Raw genomic sequence first — 24,941 nt, 5'->3', positions numbered from 1 at the left:
TGAGATTCTAACTAATTTTCCTGCTGCATGGTAAAGCCCATGCCTTCACTTTGATCTCCGTACTAATCTTCATTCACTGTGTATTTATTAACAACATAGCTCTCAAAAAGCTCTGGCTTTGCTTTGCCTTTCCTTTCCTTTCCTTCCTTTTCCCTTTCCTTCTTCTCTTTCTTTTTTTTTTTTTTTTTTTTTTTTTGACAGTCTTGCTTCATCACCCAGGCTGGAGTGCAGTGGCCCGATCTCGGCTCACTGCAATCTCCACCTCCCGGATTCAAGTGGTTCTCGTGCCTCAGTCTCCTGAGTAGCTGGGATTACAGGTGTGCGCAAACATACCCGGCTAATTTTTGTATTTTTAGTAGAGATGGGGTTTCACCATGTTGGCCAGGCTGGTCTCAAACTCCTGGCCTCAAGTGATCCACCCACCTCAGCCTCCCAAAGTGTTGGGATTACAGGCGTGAGCCACTGCACCTGGCCTCTTTCTTGTCAATTAAAAAAGGCACTTCTGGCCAGGCACGGTGGCTCATGCCGCCTGTAATCCCAGCACTTTGGGAGGCCGAGGTGGGCGGATCACTTGAGGTCAGGAGCTGGAGACTTGGCCAACACAGGGAAACCCTGTCTCTACTAAAAACACAAAAAATTAGCTGGGTGTGGTGGTGGGCGCCTGTAATCCCAGCTACTCAGGAGGCTGAGGCATGAGAATCGCTTGAACCCAGGAGGTGGAAGTTGCTGTGAGCCGAGATCAGGCCACTGCATTCCAGCCTGGGTGACAGAATGAGACTCTGTCTCCAAAAAAAAAAAAAAAGTCACTTCTGACCTTACCAGTAAGAGAAATCTACTTCAGATCCTTTTATTATTTATTATCTATTATGGTATCACATTCCTAGGCTGAGCTGTTTCCCAGATGTACTTATCAAACATTTTTATGCATTATATATGGCCCAAGAACTTTAGAATGTGGGTTGAGGTGGAGTTACATTTTTTTTAGTTGTGGTAAAATCTATATAACAACATTTACCATTTTTTCTTTTCTTTTTTTTTTTTTTTTTTTCCAAGACAGGGATTACAGGCGTGAGCCACAGCACCTGGCCTCTTTCTTTTTTGTCAATTAAAAAAGTCACTTCTGGCCAGGCACGGTGGCTCATGCCGCCTGTAATCCCAGCACTTTGGGAGGCCAAGGTGGGCGGATCACTTGAGGTCAGGAGCTGGAGACTTGGCCAACATGGGGAAACGCTGTCTCTACTAAAAATACAAAAAATTAGCTGGGCTTGGTGGTGGGCACATTACAGGAGCTGATTTTGCTCCGTCACCCAGGCTGGAGTGCAGTGGCACGATCACAGCTCACTGCAGCCTCAACTTCCTGGGCTCAGGCAATTCTCCTTCCTCAACCTCCCAAGTAGCTGGGACAACAGGCACTTGCCACCCCACCTGGCTAATTTTTGTGTTTTTTGTACAGACAGGGCTTTTCTGTATTGTCCAGGCTGGTCTCGAACTCCTGGGCTCAAGCCATCTGCCCGCCTCGGCCTCCCAAAGTGCTGCGATTAAAAGCATGAAGCACCGTATCTGGCTTTAATCATTTTTAACTGTCCATTTCAGTGACATTAAGGGCATTCACAATGCTGTGTATCAGTGACTACTATCTAATTCTAGAACTTTTTCATCATCCCGTACTAAAACTCTGTACCCCTTACACAGTAACTCCTCATTCCCTCCTTCCCCAGCCCCTGGCAACCTCTATTCTACTGTTCGTCTCTATGAATTTGCCTATTCTAGGTACCTCATATAAGTGGGATCATAACAACATTTGCCTTTCAGTATCTGGCTTATTTCACTTAGCATAATGGTTTCAAGCTTCATCCATGTTGTATCAGGTATCAGAATTTCATTCCTTCTGAATGAGTAATAATAAGGCTGAATAATTTTCCGTCGTGTATATATTCCACATTTTGCTTACCCATTCATCTGTTGAACATTTGGGTTGTTTCCACCTCTGAGCTACTGTGAATAATACTGCTGTGACCATAGGTGTACCAGTATTTGTTTGAGTTCCAGTTTTCCATTCTTTCGGTTATGTACCTAGGAGTGGAACTGCTGGATCATGTGGTAATCCTATGTTTCACTTTTTGAGAAATCACCAAACTGTTTTCCATAGTGGTTGCATCATTTTTGCATTCCCATCAGCGATGCACAGTGTCCCAGTTTCTCCACCTCCTCACCAATACTTGTTATTTTCTATTTTTGTAAGTAATAGCCATTCTAATGGGTGTAAAGTGGTATTTCATTGTGGTTTTAACTTACATTTCCCTAATGACTAGTGATACTGAGAAGCTTGTCATGTGCTTATTGGCTATTTCTGTGTCCTTTTTATAGAAATGTCTATTTAAATCACTTGACCATTTTTGAGAACAACCGTTGAATGGGGTTGTTTCAGTGGGGATTGTGGTTTTTTTGTTTTTTGTTTTTTTTTGAGACAGGGTCTTGCTCTGTCACTCAGGCTGGAGTGCAATGGTACGATCTTGGCTCACTGCAACCTCCGCCTGCCAGATTCCAGTGATTCTTCTGCCTCAGCCTCTCAATTAGCTGGGACTACAGGTGCACACCACCATGCCCATTTAGTTTTTTGTATTTTCATTAGAGATGGGGTTTCACCATGTTGGCCAGTCTGGTCTCAAACTCCTGACCTCAAGTGATCCACCTGCCTTGAACGCTCAAAGTGCTGGGATTACAGGCGTGAGCCACCGCACTTGGCCTGGGAGGGGTTATGTCTTAATGCCCAAATCTATCTGCTCTCCAAGTGATCTTTGGAGTTTTGGTATTCTTTCTGATGTTTCATATCTAACATATCTAGAAAGTACTCCATAGAAAATTGCTTCATGTTTCCATGATAATTGCCCATATGTGACAGATTTTTCTTTGCAATAGATGAAGCAGATGGTGATTTCAAGTTGCTTCCCATGTATCCGAGCTGTTTCCAGAGTCTGCCCTTTCTGTTTCTATGCAGCTATAGAGTGGCTGACCAGGAGGCGGGAGTGGAGGCCCACACCTGTAATCCCAGAACTTTGGGAGGCCGAGACGAGTGGATCACTTGAAGTCAGGAATTCAACTGACCAGCCTGGCCAACATGGTAAAACCCTGTCTTTACTAGAAATACAAAAATTAGCCAGGTGGTAGTGGCACACGCCTGTAATCCCAGATATGTGGGAGGCTGAGGCAGGAGAATTTCTTGAACCCAGGAGGCAGAGATTGCAGTGAGCCAAGAGTGCACCCTCCAGCTTGAGCGACAGAGCAAGACTGTCTCCATAAAAAAAAAAAAAAAAAAAAAAAAAAAAAAAAAAGGGCTGGGCGCGGTGGCTCACGCCTGTAATCCCAGCATTTTGGGAGGCCGAGGTGGGCAGATCATGAGGTCAGGAGATCAAGACCATCCTGGCCAAGACCATCCTGGCTAACACGGTGAAACTCCATCTCTACTAAAAATACAAAAACAAAATTAGCCAGGCGTGGTAGTGGGCACCTGTAGTCCCAGCTACTCGTGAGGCTGAGGTGGGAGATTGTGTGAACCCGGGAGGCGGAGCTTGCAGTGAGCAGAGATCATGCCACTGCACTCCAGCCTGGGAGACAGAGCGAGGCTCCATCTCAAAAAAAAAACAAACCAGTGGCTGATCAGGGATGTGATCTGGGAATGAGACTCCCAAGGCTCCCGTGATAGACCTGTTAAGCTTCACTTTTCTTTTGCTTGGAAAATTTTATCTCTTTAGTAAAATAAGAATACAACAAAACAAACCGCTCACTTATTGGCCTCTGGTTGCTGTCATTTCACGTCACCAGCAACAGCAATGCCTCTGCCAGAAGCTTGCCAGGTGCCCCATTTCGGTTGGGAGACACATGCCCTTGCCGTTAGGGATACGGATAAATATCACCCCTGCTCTTCATCAGGAAACCTGGGGTCCAAAGTTTTAAGTGGGATTTTGAGATTGTAAGAATATAAAACACCTAAAAAAAAGTAGAACTCATGTTTGTTACAAGTTAAAAGAATCATTTGAAGCTGGGCGTGGTGGCTCACACCTGTAATCTCAGTACTTTGGGAGGCCAAGGCAGGCAGATCACTTGAGGTCAGGAGTTCAAGACCAGCCTGGCCAACATGGCAAAACCCTGTCTCTACTGAAAATAAAAAAAACTAGCCAGGCATGATAGCATGCGCCTGTAATCCCAGCTACTGGGGAGGCTGAGGCTGAGGCACTGAACTCGGGAGGCAGAAGTTGCAGTGAGCCAAGATTGTGCCACTGCACTCCAGCCTGGGCGACAGAGCCAGACTCTGTCTCAAAAAAAAAAAAAAATCACTTGAACACATGTGAGCAGTTATGAATTCTTTTATGGTGTGCCAACATTTGAGTGTGGTTACAAGAAACAATAGTAAAAACAGTAGTAAAGAGTGACCATTTCTGGAGTAGTCACTGCTGTGGACACAGTACCAAATACTTTCCATGTATGATTGTGTTCGATCACTACAAATCAGGAAAACAAAGCTCAAAGAGCTAAGAAAGTTGCTCCAGGTCACATACTTCATACGTGACAGAGCCTGGATACAAACCTAGGTCAGTGTGACTCCTGTTTTGGAGCGGAAGTACTGACAGCTTGTTGGGTGGAGGAGAAACAGGAAAACACATTTCAAATAGCTTAGCATTATTGCAACTGACTAGGAAAGCAACATAGGTATTATTTAGAAAATAGAGGATTTCAGTGGATATAAAGACCTTTTTGTCCTTAAGCTGTGTTGGTAATGTTACTTCCAAGCGCAGAAGGCCAAGTGCTCATTGTAACCTTTCTGGTTGATGCAGGTGTTCTCGCTACATATGTTGTAGGTTTTCTTTTCAGATTCAAATTTTGGGGGATTTTGGGGTCTATTTTTATTTTTATTTTTTTAAGACAGGGTCTCACTCTGTCACCCAGGCTGAAGTGCAGTGGTATGATCACAGCCCGCTGCAGCCTCAGACTCCTGAGCTCAAGCGATCCTCCCACATTGGCTTCCCAAAATGCTGAGATCACAGGCATGAGCCACTGCACCTGGCCCAGATTCAAATGGTGGATTCAAGTATTTTGTTTATATTTTGTTTTGGATTTTGAGATAGGGTCTCAGTCTGTTGCCCAGGCTGACTGCAGTGGTGTGATCATGGCTTACTGCAGTCTCAAACTCCTGAGCTTAAGCAGTCCTCCTACATCAGCCTCCTAAATAGCTAGGACTACAGGTGCACCACCACACCCGGCTAATTTTTGTATTTTTGTAGAGACAGGGGTCTCGCTGTGTTGTCCAGGCTGATCTTGAACTCCTGGACTCAAGCAATCCACCCGCCTGAACCTCCCAAAGTGCTGGGATTACAGGCATGAGCCACTATGCCTGCCCTTGTTCATATTTTGATTGGCTTTTATTTCAGTTACTGTGTTCTCTCTTCATTGGTGTCACCACTTCTTCCTGAACAAAATATTATTTCAAAAGTCTCCTTTCCTAAGAATTCTTACCATGTTCTCATCTTTCTGCCTCTAACCTTAATGACTTCCCTAAACCTGTCTTTAATGGATTCTGCTCCTTCATTTGAGGTTTGAAAGTCTCCAGGTCTCCAGTTAATCTGCTACTTCTTTTTTTTTGAGACAGGGTCTTGCTCTGTTGTCCAGGCTGGAGTGCAGTGGTGCAACCATGGCTCACTGCAGCCTTGGGCTCTGGGGCTCAAGCGATCCTCTCGACTCAGCCCCCTAAGTAGCTGGGACCACAGGCACATGCCACCATGCCCAGCTAATTTTTGTATTTTTTGTAAAGGTGGGGTTTTTGCCATGTTGCCCAAGCTGGTCTTGAACTCCTGAGCTCAAGCAATCCACCCACCTCAGCCTCCCAAAGTTCTGGGATTACAGGCAGAGTAATCCACCATCCCTGCTTAGTTAATCTACTTCTATCTACATCACAGCCCTACTCTTACCCCACAACCCCCATTGTTGACAAAGATACTTTCTTTGTTATCTGAGCCTTTTGTCTTGTACATCCTCATTTGTGTTTTTTTTTTTTCACCCTGTCCTTTCTGATTTATGGGCGTTGATGGCCTCTCTAGGCTGAAACCTAAAGACTGTCTCTAGAATCTGTGTCTTACCAGACCAATTTTTAACTTCCTAGGATGGAAAATCCAGTTGTTTCAAATTGATAGAAATCTACCATCAATGTAGACTGGGTTTAGCCAGGCACTCATGCAAGACAATGCCTGCTCTATGCTGTAGACCAAGGGATTGCAAAAGTTGTGATGTTCTTGTCCAAACATGGAGAAACATGAGCTGGGGACTTGTGTGCGATTGTAAGCAATTGAACAACCACACCCAAAGAGGGTGAACTGATGTCACCCTGGAGACAAGTCGTCAGTGATGAGCTGAAGGGCTCTGCTCACTCTGCTCTGATTTTAGCATTTCTTTTAATGACTCAAATGAGTTATCCCTAGACAGCAAGCGTCCACACACAGGCTATGGCCCTGGCTTCCTTGGTGCAAGCAGGCCACATTAAAAAAGTCGTGCACATTTCTCATTTTTTTGACCACCCTCTGTCAATGCCCCTTCCTCAAAATACCATCCCGCAGTCTTTGTGGGACAGTAAATCCAGGAGCTAAGCTCCACAGTGGCCGCCAAACAGGTTCCCATCAGATGCCCTGGGAGTGAAAGATGCAAAGGTGGGGAAATGGCTGGAGCGCAGTCTTTGATTGCAGTGAATGGCAGACTGCAGTTCACCCCAGTCTTTATTCTCTTTTCCTGGGACTCCATTAGTGAATTGTGGAGTTTTGAATTGTCCTTTTGTTTCTCATCTGTTCTTTCACAGTTTATTTTTTCCCCTAGGTTCTGGGAAATTTCCTCTTTTATGATTCCTTGAACATCTTATTTCAGCTATCATTTTTTTTTTTCTAAGATGGAGTCTCGCTCTGTCCCCCAGGCCAGAGTGCAGAGGTGTGATCTTGGCTCACTGCAACCTCTGCCTCCTTGGTTCAAGAAATTCTCCTATCTCAGCCTCCCAGGTAGCTGGGATTACAGGTGCCCGCCACCACGCCCAGCTAATTTTTTTTTTTTTTTTTTTTTGTAGAAACAGGGTTTCACCATATTGGTCAGGCTGGTATCGAATTCCTGACCTCAGGTGATCCACCTGCCTAGGCCTCCCAAAGTGCTAGGATTACAGGTGTGAGTCACTGTGCCCGGCCAGCTATCATATTTTTAATCTATCTAATTGCTTCCCCTTGTTTTCTGATTATTCTTTTTTCAGATCAACCTGTTCTGGTTTTATAAACTTTTTCTTAAACCTCTTCTAGTCGGCTGGGCACAGTGGCTCATGTCTGTAGTCCTAGCACTTTGCAAAGCTTGCTTGAGCCCGGGAGATTGCAGCTGCAGTGAACTATGACTGCACCACTGCACTCCAGTCTGGGTGAGAGAGCGAGACCTTGTCTCGAAACAAACAAACAAAAAACAAAAAACCTCTTTGAGCCAAGTTTTCTTCTATTCCCTGACGATCTTTCCACCAGAGTTCATTTTTCACCTATATATCTTGCTCTTTCTTTTTCAGGCTGCTGGTTCTGGGAATGTCTTGGTGATCTTTGGTTGTCTGGTCATATCTTAAAAAGAAGGTCTATGTGACTCGGTGGCTTCTCCCCAGTGAGAATTCTGACTGGGTGCTCTGGGTATGGGGTCGAGGAGGATGAGGTCACTTGATTGCCCAGAATGAGGACTTTAGTGTACCAAGGTGATGAATAAAAGCCTTTGATTCTCCAATATGGATTGCTTAATTTCTTTTTTCTTTTTCTTTCCCTTTTTTTTTTTTTTTGAGACCGAGTCTTGCTCTGTCGCCCAGGCTGGAGTGCAGTGGCGAGATCTCGGCTCACTGCAAGCTCCACCTCCAGGTTCACGCCATTCTTCTGCCTCAGCCTCCCAAGTAGCTGGGACTACAGGCGCCCGACACCACGCCCAGGTAATTTTTTTTTGTATTTTTAGTAGAGTAACATGGTTTCACCATGTTAGCCAGGATGGTCTCCATCTCTTGACCTCGTGATCCGCCCGTCTCGGCCTCCCAAAGTGCTGGGATTACAGGCGTTAGCCACCGCCCGACCAATACTTAATTGCTTTAAAGAGCTGTCAAGGACTTGTTTGTTTACTTTTGCCTGAGGGTAGATGCCAGCTGCTTGGACTGAGGGCCTGGGGATGGGGGAAGGTGGGGGAGGAGAGAGAGAAGCAGGTGGGTACAGTTGATCCACCCTAGAGCTTTCCCGGCTCACAGGCCTCCTGGCAGCACTTCCCTGCCGCCTGCTGTTTGTCTGTTAACCCTCTCCCAACTGACCTCAGCTTCCAGGGTGTAGGGACTCTCATCCCTGTGTGGTACCCACTTACCCTGTCCTCAGGGTATGAGCTTATTCCTTATTGGACTTCTTGTCCATCAATCTGAAGAGTCAAGGCAGAGACATCCTGTCTGGTTTATTAATGAAAAATGAAAAAAAAATCCCACATGCACGTTTAGTATTTGTTATCCCATGGGTAGTATCTCTAGTAAAAGAACTGTAAATTAACATATTATTTCCATTGAAGTAAATAATGTATTGCTTTAAAAGATATATATGTAATATACAAAAACATGCTTCTTAGGCCGAGCACAGTGGCTCACGCCTGTAATCCCACTTTGGGAGGCTGAGGCAGGGGGATCACGAGGTCAAGAGATCGAGACCATCCTGGCCAGCATGGTGAAACCCCATCTCTACTAAAAATACAAAAATTTACTGGGCATGGTGGCGCGCGCCTGTGGTCCCAGCTATTTGGGAGGCTGAGGCAGGAGAATCGCTTGAACCTGGGAGGTGGAGGTTGCAGTGAGGTGAGATCGCGCCACTGCACTCCAGTCTGGCAACAGAGTGAGACACTGTCTTAAAAAAAAAGAAGGGAAGAAAAAAAAAACTAAAAAACACATGTTTCTTGTAAAAATGCAGATACAAGATGGCTTTTCCCTTTATTTCCCCACCCCAGTTCTGCTCTTTTCCCAGGAAGTGGCTGCTGTTAATAATTGGGTGTATATCTTTGCCAACCATTATTAATGGATTTACGTATCCATGTTCATCTGTCTGATTATCAGTCTCTTCTCAATTTAGACAGGATTAAATTGTATATGTTATTTTGTGATTTTTTTTTAACTCGGTCATATGCCTTGGGTGGCTTTCCATGTCGGTACATGTAGAGCTATCATTCTTTCCCCTACTGGTTGACATTTAAGTAGTTTACAGTTTTTCTAAAAAGGCAGAATCTGTTGCTTTCTTGTTTCATTGACTCTTAGCATGTTTCTCACTGAAATTAAGAAATCCTGGTCATATCTGTAAAGAAGCCCGGTGTGTTGAATGGAAAAACCTAATTGGATGAAATACAACAAGTCGAGCAGATCATACATAAATATGGTAAAACTTAGAAGTGCAGTTTCAACATCAGCCAAATAAAATACTAAAACTTCTTTAATAAAGCGTGTTATTCTATCCCAGTTCGTGAATGAAGCAGAATCAAATCAAATTTATTTTGCTCCGAGTTAAGGAGACAAGCCAGTTTGCTTTTCTTCTGTCAAATATATTTATAACAAGTGCCCAAGTTTAAAATGTCCTTGTTTCTCCCCTACTGTTTGTTTCCTACTATTTTATGCCTATTTTTCTTATTCTCCACACTCTTAAGTTCTTGATTTATCAGTTGTTCTTTTTGTTATAGGTCTTGAAACTGGAATCAGTTTAACCTCAAAGGGACTATCACAATGTAAATTTCCAGTCAAATCCCATTTAAAGCAATGAGAACATGGGCCTGGCACGATGGCTCATTCCTGTAATGCCAGCATTTTGGGAGGCTGAGGTGGGAGGATTCCTTGAGCCCAGGAGTTTGAGTCCAGCCCTGGTAACAAAGCGAGATCCCATCTCTACAAAAATTTTAAAAATAAAAATATTAGCTGGGCATGGTGGCGCACACTTGTAGTTCTAGCTACTCAGGAGGCTAAGGTGGGAGGATTCCTTGAGCTTGGGCAGTTGAGGCTGCAGTAAGCTGTGGTTGTGCCACTGCACTCCAGCCTGGGTAACAGAGTGAGACCCTGTCTCAAAAAAACCACCAACACCAACAACAGAAAACAACAAAAACAGAAACAAAAAAACAAACTGAAGAGAACATCTATAGACAAAACCACACATTTTCAGGATCTAGATCCACACCTTCCCTGGAGAAAGGGAGAAGTCTCCTCTCTCTTTTTATTTATTTTTTTGAGGCAGGGTCTTGCTCTGTTGCCCAGGCTGGAGTGTAGTGGTGTGATCACAAGTCATTGCAGCCTCGACCTCCTGGGCTCAAGTGATCCTGTCACCTCAGCCTCCTGAGTAGTTGGGACCATAGGCACGGGACATGCCACCATGCCTGCCTAACTTTTTTTTTATTTTTTGTAGCAATGGGGTCTCACCATGTCTCCCAGACTGGTCTTGAAATCCTGGGCTGAAGTAATCCTCCTGCCTCAGCCTTCCAAAGTGCTTGGTATTACAGGCATGAGCCACTGCGCCTGGCCGAGGTCTTCACTTTTGAAAGAGCACAAATCCTTTACATGGCCAGTTCTGGCAGGTCTTTTCTACCATTCCACACCAAAAGATTTTCAGAGTTCTGCTATGCTGAGATTAGCATTGAATTTCACTGGCTGTGTGGCAGAATGACTTTACTTCCCATTTTCACATTTTTTTAATCTGCAGAAACTTGGTACTCACCAGGTGTCCCTTTGCAAGGCTGGGTCAGAACTCCAGCTTATATCCTGCTCTTAACAAGAGCAGCTACCACTAAGGGGGCACCTGACTATGTGCAGGCACTGTTGTATGAGTTTCACATTCATTTTCTCACTTAATCCTCAAAATATTCCCATGCAGTAGGCCTTGATGGGGAAACTGAGGCCCAGAGCAGTTGGGTCACTTGCTTAAGTCACACAGTGCTTCAGATTCCTGAGAGAGCTGGGCTTCAGACCCAGTCTGCCTGGTGCCAAAGCCTGGACTTTTAGCCTCTGTGCTACACGTTCACCACTAACCAACTCTCTCTCTCTTTCTTTCTTCCTTCCTTCCTTCCTTCCTTTCTTTCTTCTTTCTTTCTTTCTTTCTTTCCTTCCTTCCTTCCTTCTTTCTTTCTTTTTTCCTTTCTTTCTTTCTTTCTTTCTTTCTTTCTTTCTTTCTTTCTTTCTTTCTTTCTTTCTTTCTCTTTCCTTCTCTTTCTTTCTCTCTCTCTCTCTCTCTCCCTCCCTCCCTCCCTCACTCCCTCTCTCCCTCCCTCCCTCCCTCCCTCCCTCCCTCTCTCCCTCCCTCCCTCCCTCCCTCTCTCTCTCTCTCTCTCTCTCCTTCCTTCCTTTCATTCTTTGGTTCTTTCATTCTTTCAACAGAGTCTCACTCTGTTGCCCAGGTTGGAGTGCAGTGGTGCAATCATAGCTCATGGCATCCTCAAACTCGTGGGCCCAAGTGATCCTCCTGCTTCAGCCTCCAGAGTAACTAGCTCCGGGCATGCACCACTATACCCAGCTAATTTTAAAATTTTGTGTAGAGACAGGGTCTCCCTGTGGTGCCCAGACTGGCTCTGAACTCCTGGCCTCAAACGATCCTCCTGCCTCAGCCTCCCAGAGTGCTGGGATTACAGGCGTGAGCCACCCCATCTGGCTTAATGAGCCCTCTTGAGCACGTGAGAAGGGAGACCTGCAGCCACCACCTGATAGTAACAGGATGGGTGACTGTGGTAGACTAGATAATGGCCCCCCCAAAAAAGATGTTCCTATGTTAATCCCTGGAACCTGTGAATGTCACTTTACAAATCAAAAAAAGGACCTTGCAGATGTGATTAAGTTCAGGATCTTGAGATTGGGAGACTGTCCTGGATTAGCCAGGGGGGCCTCGATGCAATCACGTGTATTAATATGAAAGGGAGGCACAGGGAGGTGTGACATACACAGAGGAGGATGTGTGGTCCTGGAGGCAGAGACCGGAACGATGCAGCCACAAACCACGAAAGCCAGTGGCTGCCAGCAACTGGAAGATACAAGGAATGGGCTCTCCTCCGAGGCCTCTAGAGCACGCATTAGTCAGCATAGTTCCTGAACTATGAAGGAATAAATTTCTTTTGAGCCACTAAGTTTGTGGTAATTAGAGCAGGCATAAGAAACTAATACAGTGACTGTGTGGTCTCTCTAGGCCTCAGTTTCCTTATCTGTAAAACAAGGATATTAATGATACATACCTAGTTTTTTTTTTTTTCAGGGTCTCTCTCTGTCACCCAGGCTGGAGTACAATGGCACAATCTTGGTTCACTGCTTCCTCTACCTCCCGGGTTCAAGCGATTCTCAGCCTTGCCTCAGCCTCCTGACTAGCTAGGATTACAGGCATGCGCCACCACGCCCGGCCAATTTTTGTATTTTTAGTAGAGACAGGGTTTTGCCATGTTGGCCAGGCTGGTCTCGAACTCCTGACTTTAAGTGATCCGCCCACTGCGGCCTCCCAAAGTGCTGGGATTACAAGCATGAGCCACCACATCCAGCCTAGTATTTTTTAAAACTAAGGAATTTAAAATGCTTGGCAGGAGGCCTGGCATGAATATATGCTCAACCGAGATGAGGTATTGTGATCACTAATTGGCTCTGATAGGAGCACACATGGGTTTTTGGGGAGCACATGGGCCACTCAGCAAACCCAACTTTAGTTCATGTGATGTGCTTGGTTATCCAGTAAGGTCCACAGGGCACTTTAGAGGCAAAGAAGTTGAAATTAGTTAAAAGTGACAATACATGGTATTTACTGACCAACTGGCAGGAAATTCACCCAAAAATCTTCACCTCCAATTTCCTTTTTTTTTTTTTTTTTTTGTTTGAGACAGGGTCTCATGCTATTACCCAGGCTGGAGTGCAGTGGCGTGATCATAGAGCACTGCAGCCTCAACTCCTGGGCTCAAATGATCCTCCTGCCTCACCCTTCCAAGTAGCTGGGACTACAGGCACCCACCACCACACCTGGCTAATTATTGATTTTTTTTTTTTTTTTTAGATACAGGATCTTGCCATGTTGCCCTAGCTTGGAATCCAACTCCTGGCCTCAAGTGATTCTCCCATCATGACCTCTCAAGTAGGTGGGACTATGGGTGCCTGCCACCATGCCTGGCTAATGTTTTTTATCTTTATTTTTTGTAGAGACAGGGGTCTCTATGTAGAGACAGGGGCCACTATGTTACCTAGGCTGGTTTCAAACTCCTGGCCTTAAGCACTATTTTCACCTTGGCCTTTCAGAAGGCTGGGATTACAGGTGTGAGCAACCAGCCCAGCCTCCCCTTCCAATTTCTAGTGTGACTGTAGCCATCAGAGAAACACTTTTCAGGTAGTAATTTTTATTACCTGGTGGATGCCCCAGTAACTTCTTATTTTCTGGATCTAATTCTGAGTGGTCATTCCAGGACACTTAATTAATAAACATAAAAGTAAACATGGCAGCTGGGAATTATAAGTGCAAATTCAGTTGCCCATCAGGAATGTAACAAGTGACCTGCACGCTTTGCTACAGCAAAGCATGGATGCTCATTTCATCCACGGAAATGAGCAGAGGGAGGGCTGTTTTGATCTAGGCACCCGGGTCCCAGATGCCTGAGAGCTATTTCTCCCCAAGGGCCAGACTGCAGCAGAGCCAATGAGTTTGCCTTTGAGATGTTCCCATTTGTTCGCCCAGCTCCAAGAGAAGTCATCGCCTTCATTGTGGGTTGTTTTGGGCAAATGATGGAGGAATTAGCAGCATGGCCTGGAGCGGCTCTGAGCAGGCCTGGGCCAGCTGACACACGCCACTTAGGTTTCCAGGGAGCCAAGCTGTCCCCACTCACGCACGGCTGATGCACTTGTGGCTAAATGCGGTGCAGTCAGGGCCCCGGGCCAGATTCAGGGCAGGAAATAGAATACCACCTCCATTGCCAGGGAAACAATGGTCTACGGACATGATTTAAACTGGAGCCAACGAGAACGCTCAGAGGGCCGACCAGCAGAGGAAGGGAGACCAGAGGGCAGCTTGCACAGATCTTGTCTTGGGTTATAACTGTTGACAAGCCACTTAACTGCCTCCAGGTTTAAGTTTGTCTGTGTATAAGATGGAGGTAACAATATTTATACATCTCACTGGAGACTTATGAAAACAAGATTTTGGACAGATCCCTTGGGACCCATGGATGGAAAGTGGTATGTAAGTGCAGTGATAAACCTACTGTGTGTGTGTGGGGGGGTGTTTTCAGCAGTGTATTAGGGACTTGTAGACCCACCAGAAAACACTTTTGGAGTCTGATCAAAAACGACAAGAAAAATGAGCAGCTCTTGGTTGCAAGTGCATGGGTTTGCTTTGGTTTTGTACAGGTCTGGGAGAATTGCATGTGTAACTCAGACTTCAGAATTGTTTTCCACCTGTCGCTGTGATGAGTCATACAGGTGCTCAGATCATCTGAGAATGCTGTAGTGATTGTTCCCAAATATTTGCCAACTTTGCTTTACAAAACTTCCCAATTCTACTGTGTGGTTTATGAGTTGTACATGGAGTCTGGAACATTTCTTCCCAAGGTGGGTGGGGAATCTATTTAAAAACAAAGCACACAGGAGGATAATTGTTCCTTCCCCGTGACATGTGTGATTTCTGAGGAGTCTTCCTGCGGCTGCTAAATAGACATGTTTCTGTTCATTTAAGCCTAAGCAATTGACCTCAGACCTCCCAATAACGTTTGTAAATGTTTTCCGTCAGCTGGGGTCCTGCGGGAGTCTATTGCTCCGTGTTCTTGGTTAGTTAAACCTGTCTCTTAGGCGTATCATCTGTCTAGAATAATTCCTCTGGCTCTAGGTGAATGATGACTATTATAGAAAAAAATTGTTGAGTAATAAACTACACACTTAATTTTTTATTAGAAAAATATAAATGAAATATAGAAAATAGAGATTATCTGTAATTCTCACAGGCGGAATGAACCATACTGGCATACATACATGTATATTTTCAACAAAAATGGGATTCTATGTATACGCTTGAGGTGAAGTCTTTACCTAGTAAACCTGGAAGAGCATTGCATATCCTTAGAGATTTTTGCCTTTTTGCCTGCAGCAGGGAGGGGTCCTGCTTCTGTTGCCCGCCTGCGGGGTGGCAGAATGAGAGGCCTTGGAAGAACTTTCAAAGACTCGTTCCTTGAGATGTTGCTCCACTTAGCGCCCCTGTGTTTTGGCAACAACATGCTTCCCAGAAGTGGTAAACACTTGCTGATTTGAGCTTCTATGTGGATGCTGGTCCCTACCACTCCCCTCTATCCTCCTTCCTTTTTTTTTTTTTTTCATGCTAGCAGAACTGATTAAGGCATGACTTACATGCAGTGCAATACACACACATTACAGCCTGTGGAATTTGTTTTTTGTTTTGTTTTGTTTTGAAATGGAGTCTCGCTCTGTTGCCCAGGCTGGAGTGCAGTGGTGCAATCTCAGCTCACTGCAACCCCCACCCCCCAGGTTCAAGTGATTCTCCTGCCTCAGCCTCCTGAGTAGCTGGGATTACAGGTGTGTGCTACCACACCTGGCTATTTTTTGTATTTTTTAGTAGAGACCGGGTTTCGCCATGTTGGCCAGGCTGGTCTCGAACTCCTGACCTCAGGTGATCCACCTGCCTCAGCCTCCCAAAGTGCTGGGATTACAGGCGTGAGCCACTGTGCCCTGCTCAGCCTATGGAATTTGAACATACACATACACTCTTGTGACACCACCCAAGACATAAAACACTTACCTCCAGCATCCCAGAATTCACTTTGTATCCTCTCTGCACCAATCCCCCCACCCCAGGTAATCACTTCCATTCATTCCTAAATGCTAACTTTATCATGTTACTGCCCACCCCAAAATGTTCCATAGCATCACTGTCCCTCTGTCTTGCTGCTTCAGGTCTGTATGTCTCGGCCTAATTTTCCTGGTCCACTGTCTTAAGGGTCCCACCTGCTGGGCCTCCATTGATGTCGTGTGGCTGGAGGGTGGTCCTTGCATCCTCACCCCCACCTGCCAGGCTCCACCTGAGCTTTGCTCCCTCTGTGACCTCACTAGAACCGTCTTTTCTTAGCCTTCCAAGTCTTGCCCATCATTCAAGGCTCAGCTCAAGTCCCATTTCCTCCAAGAAGTCCTCCCTAATTTTTTTGCCTCCCTCTTACATGCTGAGTTCGCTGGCACCATGTGGCTGAGTTTCTGCAGATGTGGGGCCCCAGAAGCCTGCCCTGGCCACTGTGTCATTCCAACTTTTGATCCCCAACAACCATTTATATCTTGGAGCAGACATTTTTCCAAACCCTCCTCTGCCCTTACCCATTCTCTCTCACATCCTGCGGCTGCCTGAGGGTCTGTCCCTCCCCAGACCTCAGACCCTGCTCGGTGTCTGTGTCACCTTTTTCCTGCCCCAGTGTTGGGACTTTGCTACCCAGATCAACCAAGTCCTCTCCTATGGACCCTCAGGTCCCGCCTCTGCTACCAGTTCTTCAGATTTGATACCAAGACATCTTGGGACTGGGCTCAGCTCAGAGGGTAGGGGTAGACTGAGGGGAGAGAGTTCACAGGTGAAGAGAAAGTTCTTTTGATGGGATGTGGGGTGGGGCTGGGAGCACTGGTGAGTTACATAGTCATCCCATCTCACTCATGTCCCCTGCACCTTGCAGTTAGCGACTGTCCCACTTTCTCTGTTGTTCCTATGTGTTAACCTCACTCCTGTCCAGACTTTTGGGGTTTCCCATGGCACAAGCAGAGCTCAGAGCCCACAAGAATGGGCACAGTGAAGGGGATTAAATAAGACAGTGCAGCTAAGGTGCTGAGCACAGGGCCTGCCCACGGTAGGGCTGAGAGAAGTGAGTTAACTTCAAGACCCTGCAGTCCCTTCTCTGATTCTTGTCAGCCGGGGAGGTGAGGTGGGGTCCCAAAGCTGCGCGTGTGTTTGTAGGAGTCGAAGGGACTTCCAGAAACCCTCTCGTCCACAGTGAACACAGGCCCCAGAGCAGCAGAGCCAGGTCTGAGGCCCAGCTTCGTGCGGACTCTCCCTGTGACCTCAGTCTCTCCACGAGTGAAATGGGGCAGTGGTCCCTCCCCCTTGGATGAGCAGAGATCACGAGCACTGGTGCTCAAGGACTTTGCAGATGGAACCCTGCATGAGGCGGGTTGTCCTGGTTCCAACTTAAGCATAATTGAGTCTTCTGAATTGGCAGCTGGAAGATGTAGCCCCTCATAGAAAAAGTTGGGTTCTAGACAGAAAGCAGAAAGTTTCAGTGAGATTAGAGCATGTGGAAAAGGGGCTGGGCGTGGTGGCTAACGCCTGTAATCCCGCACTTTGGGATGCCAAGGAGGGTGGATCACCTGAGGTCAGGGATTCGAGACCAGCCTGGCCAACATGATGAAACCCCATCTCTACTAAAAATACAAAAAATTAGCCAGGTGTGGTGGTGCCCGCCTGCCTGTCATCCCAGCTACTAGGGAGGCTGAGGCAGGAGAACTGCTTGAGCCCGGGAGGCAGAGGTTGCAGTGAGCAGAGATCGCGCCTCTTCACTCCAGCCTGGGTGACAGAGCAAAAATAAAAAAAATTAAAAAAAAAAAAAGTGGAGAAAAGGGCAGAAAAAATAGGAAAGAAAAGAAAGCTGCAGTGACACTACCCTCAGTTGTAGGCAAACTCGAGTCTGACTTTGGAACATGCCTTCGTCACCCTGTGCCTCAGTTTACTTGCCTGTGAAATGGGGATAACAGTTTTTTCCTCCTAGAATTGTTGTGAGGGGCAAGTACAGTAATTGATGTAAGGATGTAGCACAGTGCCTGGCTCAATCAACACTAGTGTTATTATTTCCTAATAAGTGTTTGTTGTTGCTCAGTGAATGAATGGATGGATGGATGAATGGCCGTTGGTCTGGATTTAGCTTCAGGGGGTGCTTTTTTGTTATTCTCTAGCATTTTCAGGCTGATTCCATTTGACTTTGCTTAGGCAGGGAACAGTTTGACTTGCATGTGGAGAAGGAAGAGAGTAAATGAGAAGTCTTCGCCCAGGGGTGCAGGACTGCACACAGAAGGCAGTAAGATCCTGGGAGCAAACCCAGTGGCACCGGAGAGCCAGTGGGGACACCCCCTCACCAGGCCAGGTTTCCCTGAGGCTGCCATTTCCCTCTCCACTTCTGTAAAGTCAGACTTGCACTTTGGTTTTACTCCCAAGCTCAGCTCCTTGATTCATCCTGGCAGGGCTGTGGCTGTTGCTTTATCATCTTTCTGTATGGCCAGGATGAGACAGGTCATAGACATTTTACTATGGAAGAATAAGCAACCAATATTGAATATCTCGGAGTCCCTGCCCCTCGGCCCTCTCCCCATCTTCTCAGACAACCGTCAGAGCCGAGCCTATATCCAGTCTCACCCCGCACCCCGCACACACCTCTCAACCCACAGAGCCAGGGAGTTCCAGGTCATTACAAGGGCAATGGTTTTACCATCTGGCCCTGTCTTTGCTACTTACGTGCTGTGTGACCTTCAGAAAGCCCCTTCCCATCTCTGGGCGTCAGAATCTCCATCTACAAAATAAGGGAAATGACCCTTCTCGTGTCTGAGATCCCTCCTGTCTGTGAAAGTGGCAGAGGGTGTGAGTGATGAGCATGGTGTTGGAACGCTGTCCCCATGCCTTTCTGGGGGACTGGCCCTGGGCAGCTGTTAAAGTTCCCCAGGTTGCTCCTCCTCTGTGAAATGGGGATGACAAACAATGACCCACCCCACAGGGCTGCAGTGTGTCTCAAATAAGGAGAGGCAGCCAAAGCGCTCAGCGCAGGGGCTGTGAGTGCGTACAGAAGCCGACAGCCCTGTCTCTCCTTCCCGTCAGCCAAGCTAGTTAATTTGTGGTCCCAAAGTTGAGAGAGAGAGAGAGAGAGAGAGAGAGAGAGAGAGAGAGTGTGTGTGTGTGTGTGTGTGTGTGTGTGTGTGTGTGTGGAGAGAGAGAGGCAGTGTGTGTGTGTATGGCAGTGTGTGTGTGTATAGCTTGGTCTCTCCCAGGCGCTTTGGGAAGATCTGGCCAGGGAGCCCTCCCTGGCATGTCCCTGACAGAGCCACGTGTCCTTGTCTCCTTGTCTTCTCCTGCACTGCAGCCCCAGGCTTTGGGGACTCTGTGCCTCTTTGCTGCCTCCTGAGTAGTTTTATTTGGAGGGCCAATAGCAGGACCCTCCCAGCACAGAAGTGACTGACCAGGTCCGGCCAGGGTACAAGCAGCCCCACTGAAGACCTGCAGGGCCGCCACCTCTCTGCTGCAGACCCGGCCTCTCCTCTGTCCTCAGGGCTCCCTGAATGCAAGGAGTCCCTGCACATCCCCAGGGCCCCTGCACCCGGATGTGGGGTTTTGAACTCAGGTCAGTTCTGCCCGAGGACTCCCTCCCTTCATTCCTCCCTCCTTGGACCACACGGTGTTTGTTTCACAGCTGGACACTTTGCTAAGTGATGCAGGAAGTAGGCCCCCGGGGAGGCAGATAGAGCCCAGCAAGGCAGATAACCAAGTGAAGCCTCTGGATGCCGCTGGGGCCTGGACAGGGTCAGAGATAAGCGGAAATGCCAGGCTTATCGCTCCTGCCTGAGTTCTTCCAGAGAAATCATCCTGGCCAGCCAGCCCACCTCATTCCCAGCGCTCCGGGCGTTTGGGCAGCATCCATCTCTAGGCAGAGTAAACACGGAGTTGGCACAGTCACAGTGGCTGATGGATGGGGACTCTGTGCCCCACTCCAGCACTGCGCGGTCCCAGCACCAGAGGCCAGCAGCGGGCGTCGGGTTACACCCAGATATTTGCGGTAAGGGCAGCTCTGGGCAAGTGTGCTTTGAAGTAAGAGCCTGAGGAACAATTGGTAGGGCACGGGACTAAGGGAGACCTGGTGACAGTTGTTCCCCGGTCCTGGGTTCTCTTGCGCCAAGAAAGTCAGCAGAAAGCTTTGGTTTAGGGGGACAGTTTGGGGATGGTCAGCTTGGGCCTTCTGCAACAAATGCATCGTGTGGTGGACAGACAATGTGGATGGCAGCTACCCCTGAAGTTGTCCGCATTAAACTCTGCGTGGCTTTCTGGAGTTCTTCTTCATCTCTGCTTTCCTTTCTTAAGTGAGCTTGGTGCCATGGAGGAGATGTGTGTACTTCCTCAGTGCATTCCAGCAATGGTGTGGTGCGGGCGGGGAGGTGGCCTGGGCTGGGAGGAGGTCCACTGGCTTAGGACTGGGAAGCTGTCCCCCTTCCTCCTCCTGCCCCTCACCCCACAATGAAGTGACTGAGCAAGCACATTGCTGCCTTGCTGGGCTGACCGTCTGCGGTCAGACGGGGAGAAGGTGTGGCTGGTCTTAAGGATGGCCGTTCCAATCGCTGCCATTTTCGTGGACTTACCACGTGCCAGGTGCTGTGCTAGACATTTTGCTTACGTTAATGTCCAACAGCCCTGTGGTTATTGCAGTTAATGGGCCCCCAGTGCAGATGAGGAAACCTGTGTTCACAGAGGCTAAGTGCCAGGTGCACCGTGAGCCCCTATGGCATTTTGTGTGAATTAGAAAACTTTCCTCTCAACATGTGGCTTCCTTCCCTCGGAAAATCGTCATCATATATGATTTTGTTAGAACAAGACCTTTCACTGCTACACGCTGCAACACGACTGTTATAAATAAATACACAAATCAACAAAGGGCACTGTGTGTTTCTCCCCTAAGAGGCTGTCCTTAGGTTCTGGATAACCCGTCTCCTGTCCTGGTCCCCAGAAGCAAACACGTTGAAGCTGTTTCTTTGTTTCTTTTGATATTTGCCTCCATATTTCTTCATTCTCTGTTTTGTGCATGATATATGGAGTTGCCGGTAAGATAAATGAGGACTTAGCTTTCTCACACTCCCCACTTTCCCTCCCTCACCCTCACAAGACAGATGTCACTGCTTTTACTTAATAAAGGGTTTACTTTACTATGACTGTAAATATTCTTCAATGCAAAATCAATGATTGTATTTTAATCTCATTCTTTCTTGTAAGAACTCTGGGCTGGGCGAGGTGGCTCACACTTGTAATCCTAGCACTTTGGGAGACCAAGGCGGGTGGATTGCCTGAGCTTAGGAGTTCGAGACCAGCCTGGGCAACACGGTGAAAGCCCATCTCTACTGAAATACAAAAAATTAGCCGGGTGTGGTGGCATGTACCTGTAGTCCCAGCTACTCTCAGGAGGCTGAGGCAGGAGAATTGCTTGAACCCGGGAGGCGGAGGTTGCAGTGAGCCAAGATCGCGCCACTGCACTCCAGCCTGGGCAACAGAGCAAGACTCCATCTCAAAAAAAAAAAAAAAAAAAGAAAGAAAAAAGAAAAAAGAACTCTAGTTGTCCTGGCATCTCTAATTCCTTTTGTTCCCCTTTTGCCATATCTGCCATCATCATGCTGATGGCTAATGTTTGAGCACTTGCTGGGTGCCTCTCAGGCATTCTCATGGCACCTCCCGACCACTCCATGAGGGTATGTGTTATTATTATTCTCCTGTTACAAACAAGGAAGTATAGACTCAGAGAGGTTAAGTGAACAATGGCCCATGGCTCTGGCTAATAACTGGCAGAGGCAGAAGTTAAATCCAGGCAGTCTGACTCCAGGTCCCATGCTCTCCACATTTTGCTGCATGTGTTTAATTGCATTCTATTGTACACTCTTTTTCCCCCGGGAGGGTTCCTGTTGAACACTCTTGATTTTCTTGCTTCAACTTTGGGCCTAGGTTGAAGCTATTGTTTCTTGGAGCTTTTTTTTTTTTTTGAGACAGAGTTTCACTCTTGTCACCCAGGCTGGAGTGCAATGGCGCAATCTCGGCTCACTCCAACCTCCACCTCCCAAGTTCAAGCAATTCTCCTGCCTCAGCCTCCTGAGTAGCTGGGATTACAGGCACCCACCACCATGCCCAGTTAATTTTTTTGTATTTTTAGTAGAGACGGGGTTTCACCTTGTTGGCCAGGCTGTTTACCCCCTCATTTTGCTGGAGTATATCGTCAAAGCAGCTTCCTTAGAAAGCGTGCGTGGGTCAGGTGTGGTGGCTCAAGCCTATAATCCCAGCACTTTGGTAGGCTGAGGCAGGTGGATTGTTTGAGCCCAGGAGTTCAAAAGCAGCCTGGGCAACATGGCAAAACCCCATCTCTAAAAAAAACCCCACAAAAATTAGCCAAGCGTAGTGGCACACGCCCATAGTCCTGGCTACTTGGGAGGCTGAGGTGGAAGACTGCTTGAGTCCAGGAGGTTGAGGCAGCAGTGAGCCGAGATCACACCACAGCACTCCAGCCTGGGTGACAGAGTGAGACCATGTCTCAAAAAAAAAAAAAGCACGAATTGTTTGCATTTTTGCAAATCACAAAACCCTTCATTTTGTTCTCTGATGGTGGTGTAATGTCTTCAAAATTCTAAGGGGAAGTGCTTTCCTATCTAGACTTTGACATCCAGCCTCTCTTCCAGCATCCAGTTGTTTTTAGGATGAGAAGTTTCATGTCATTCTGATTCTAGTTGTTTGGTATGTGTAGTAGTCTATTTTCAGAAATACCTGAAACTGGATAATTTATAAAGAAAAGAAATGTGTTTCTTTAGTTATGGAGGCTGAGAAGTCCAAGGTTGAGGGGCTGCATCTGGTGAGGACCTTCTTGCTGGTGGGCCCTCTCTGTAGAGTCCAGAGGTGGCCCAGGGTATCCCATGGCGAAGGGGCTGAGTGTGCTCCCTCAGATCTCTGTTCCTCCTCTTATGAAATCACCAGGCCCACTCCCATGATAACCTATTCATCCATTAACCCATAAGGTCAGGGACCTCGTGATCCAGTTGCTTCTTAAAGGCCTTACCTCTCAATACTGCCACACTGGGATTAAATTTTGACATGAATTTTGAAGGGGACAAATTCTCACAAGTATGTGTTTTTTTTTTTTCTTTTAAATTTCAGGGAGTTTTTAAATCTTCTCTTTATCCCTGTGTTCTAAAATTGCATAATGACTGTAGTATTTCTTTTATAAATTCTTTCCTTCTTTCATTTCTCTTTCTGAAACTCCAGTTAATTAGATATAAGGCTAGCTGGACTCATTGTCAAACAGCTTTCTCTCCTGCACATGTCTTTATCTTTTAGTTTTATTTTCTGGGACATTATCTTAGCTTCATCTTCGAATCCCTATATTGAATTTTTAAATTTTACTATTCATATTTTTAAATTCCAAGGCCTCTCTTTTATTCTACAGTTGTCTTTTTCCATAGCATCCTCTCCTTTTTTAAAGAATGGAATAGCCTTTCACGCTTTTCTGTGGCCACAAATGACAGCTTTGTCTGTTTGTTTTTTGAGACAGGGTCTCGTCCTGTCACCCTGGTTGGAGTGCAGTGGCACAAACACAGTTCGCTGCAACCTCTGCCTCTTGGGCTTAAACAATCCTGCCACCTCAGCTTCCCAAATATCTGGGAGTACAGGTGCATGCCACCACACCCAGCTAATTAAAATTTTTTTTTTGTAGAGACAGGGTCTCCCTATATTGCCCAGGCTGGTCTTGAATTCTTGTGCTCAATCGAGCCCCCCACCCTGGCCTCCCAAAGTGCTAGGTTTACAGGCGTGAGCCACCTCACCCCGCAAAATGACAGCCTTTTTGAAACTTTCTGTTTCTCATTTTCTCTGTTTCTTCTATGATCGTGTTTCTGTTTATTTGCTTTAGTCTTCCCTTTTCATCTTGAAGGCTTTCTTTGAACATCCAGTGATCCTTTTTGTCTGTGCATATTTCTGAAGAAGGTACTAACAGCTGGGTGGGTGGTTGAGGCTTGTTAACTGCATGGTTTTGTTGAGGATGATCAGGTGGGACGCTCCTGAGGAACCCCAAAAGCCAGCCCCTGGAACTATTGTGGTGTGGACCATTACATTTCTCCAGAAGCAGGCTCTGATCTCTAGGGAGGGTGGGCCTGGTCAGGCCCTTCTGTGCTGAGGTGTGGGGCAGGAGGAGGGATGGACTTTTCAGTCTTGCATTCCTGCTCCCCATTTACCCTACCGGGGGTATCGGGGTCCGAAGCCTCTCTGGGGTCCTACAGGGAAAGCTGGCTCCATGCCAGCTTTTGTATTCGCCTGTATCTGTATTCACCTTTGTGGCCAGTGAGGCTGCAGTTTTTCTTGTTTCTCCAGTTACCTCTCCTCCACCAGTTTTCTATCTCCTAGAAATTCATTGATAACACTCATTCACCAATGGCCCCTTCCATTCTGTTCATCGTTGCGGGTGGGTATTTATTTTCTTCCTTTACCGTGAAGTCTCTGGAGGGGAAGGAGAGAAATATGAGAGGTCAGTCTTTCAACTTGAGTCAGAGCCTTGATATCATTTTATTTTATTTTATTTTTTGAGTCAGGGTCTTTTTCTGTTGTCCAGGTTGGAGTACAGTGTCTCCATTGCTGCTCACTGTTGCCTCAACCTCCCAGGCTCAAGAGATCCTTCTGCCTCAGCCTCCTGATAACTGGGATGACAGGCACATGCCACCATGCTTGGCTAATATATACATATATGTTCTTTTGTAGAGACAGGGTCTTGCTATGTTGCCCAGGCTGGTCTTGAACTCCTGGGCTCAAGCAATCCTCCTGCCTCAGCCTCCCAAAGTGTGGGGTTACAGGTGTGAGCCACCACTGTCCTGGGTTAATAAAGCCTGGAAAGTTATTGAAAGACCCCATCTCTACAAAAAAGTTTTTTTTTTAACTTTTAAGTTCAGTGATACATGTGCAAGTTTGTTACATAAGTAAACTTGTGTCATGGGGGCTTGTTGTATAGATTAACTAGTGGGTACTAGGCTTAATACCTGGGTGACGACATTTAAAAAAATTAAAAATTAGCTGGGTGTGGGGGCATGCACCTGTAATCCCAGTTATGCAGGAGGCTGATGCTGGAGGATCGCTTGAGCCTAG

General features: G+C 46.7%; 1 protein-coding gene across 1 annotated transcript in view, besides 2 other annotated features; it reads left to right on the top strand.

Moving 5' to 3' along the window:
• Positions 7,862-8,397: an enhancer, noted in NCBI's record as "NANOG hESC enhancer chr16:46802782-46803317 (GRCh37/hg19 assembly coordinates)". NCBI's record gives its function as "activates a minimal SCP1, AML or CMV promoter by ChIP-STARR-seq in naive H9 embryonic stem cells {active_cell/tissue: H9 hESC(naive)}" and the evidence as "EXISTENCE:reporter gene assay evidence [ECO:0000049][PMID:30033119]".
• Positions 14,021-24,941, top strand: part of MYLK3 (myosin light chain kinase 3) — a 60,965-nt gene continuing 50,044 nt past the window's right edge. Inside the window, exon 1 of the mRNA NM_001308301.1 lies at positions 14,021-14,227. The gene's annotated coding sequence lies outside the window, so the exon portion shown is untranslated. The remainder of the gene's footprint in view (positions 14,228-24,941) is intronic.
• Positions 19,753-20,288: an enhancer, noted in NCBI's record as "H3K4me1 hESC enhancer chr16:46790891-46791426 (GRCh37/hg19 assembly coordinates)". NCBI's record gives its function as "activates a minimal SCP1, AML or CMV promoter by ChIP-STARR-seq in primed H9 embryonic stem cells {active_cell/tissue: H9 hESC(primed)}" and the evidence as "EXISTENCE:reporter gene assay evidence [ECO:0000049][PMID:30033119]".

The sequence above is a fragment of the Homo sapiens genome, chromosome 16, assembly GCF_000001405.40.
Source record: "Homo sapiens chromosome 16, GRCh38.p14 Primary Assembly".
NCBI lineage: Eukaryota > Metazoa > Chordata > Mammalia > Primates > Hominidae > Homo > Homo sapiens.
This window is presented reverse-complemented; position numbering and strand designations above follow the sequence as displayed.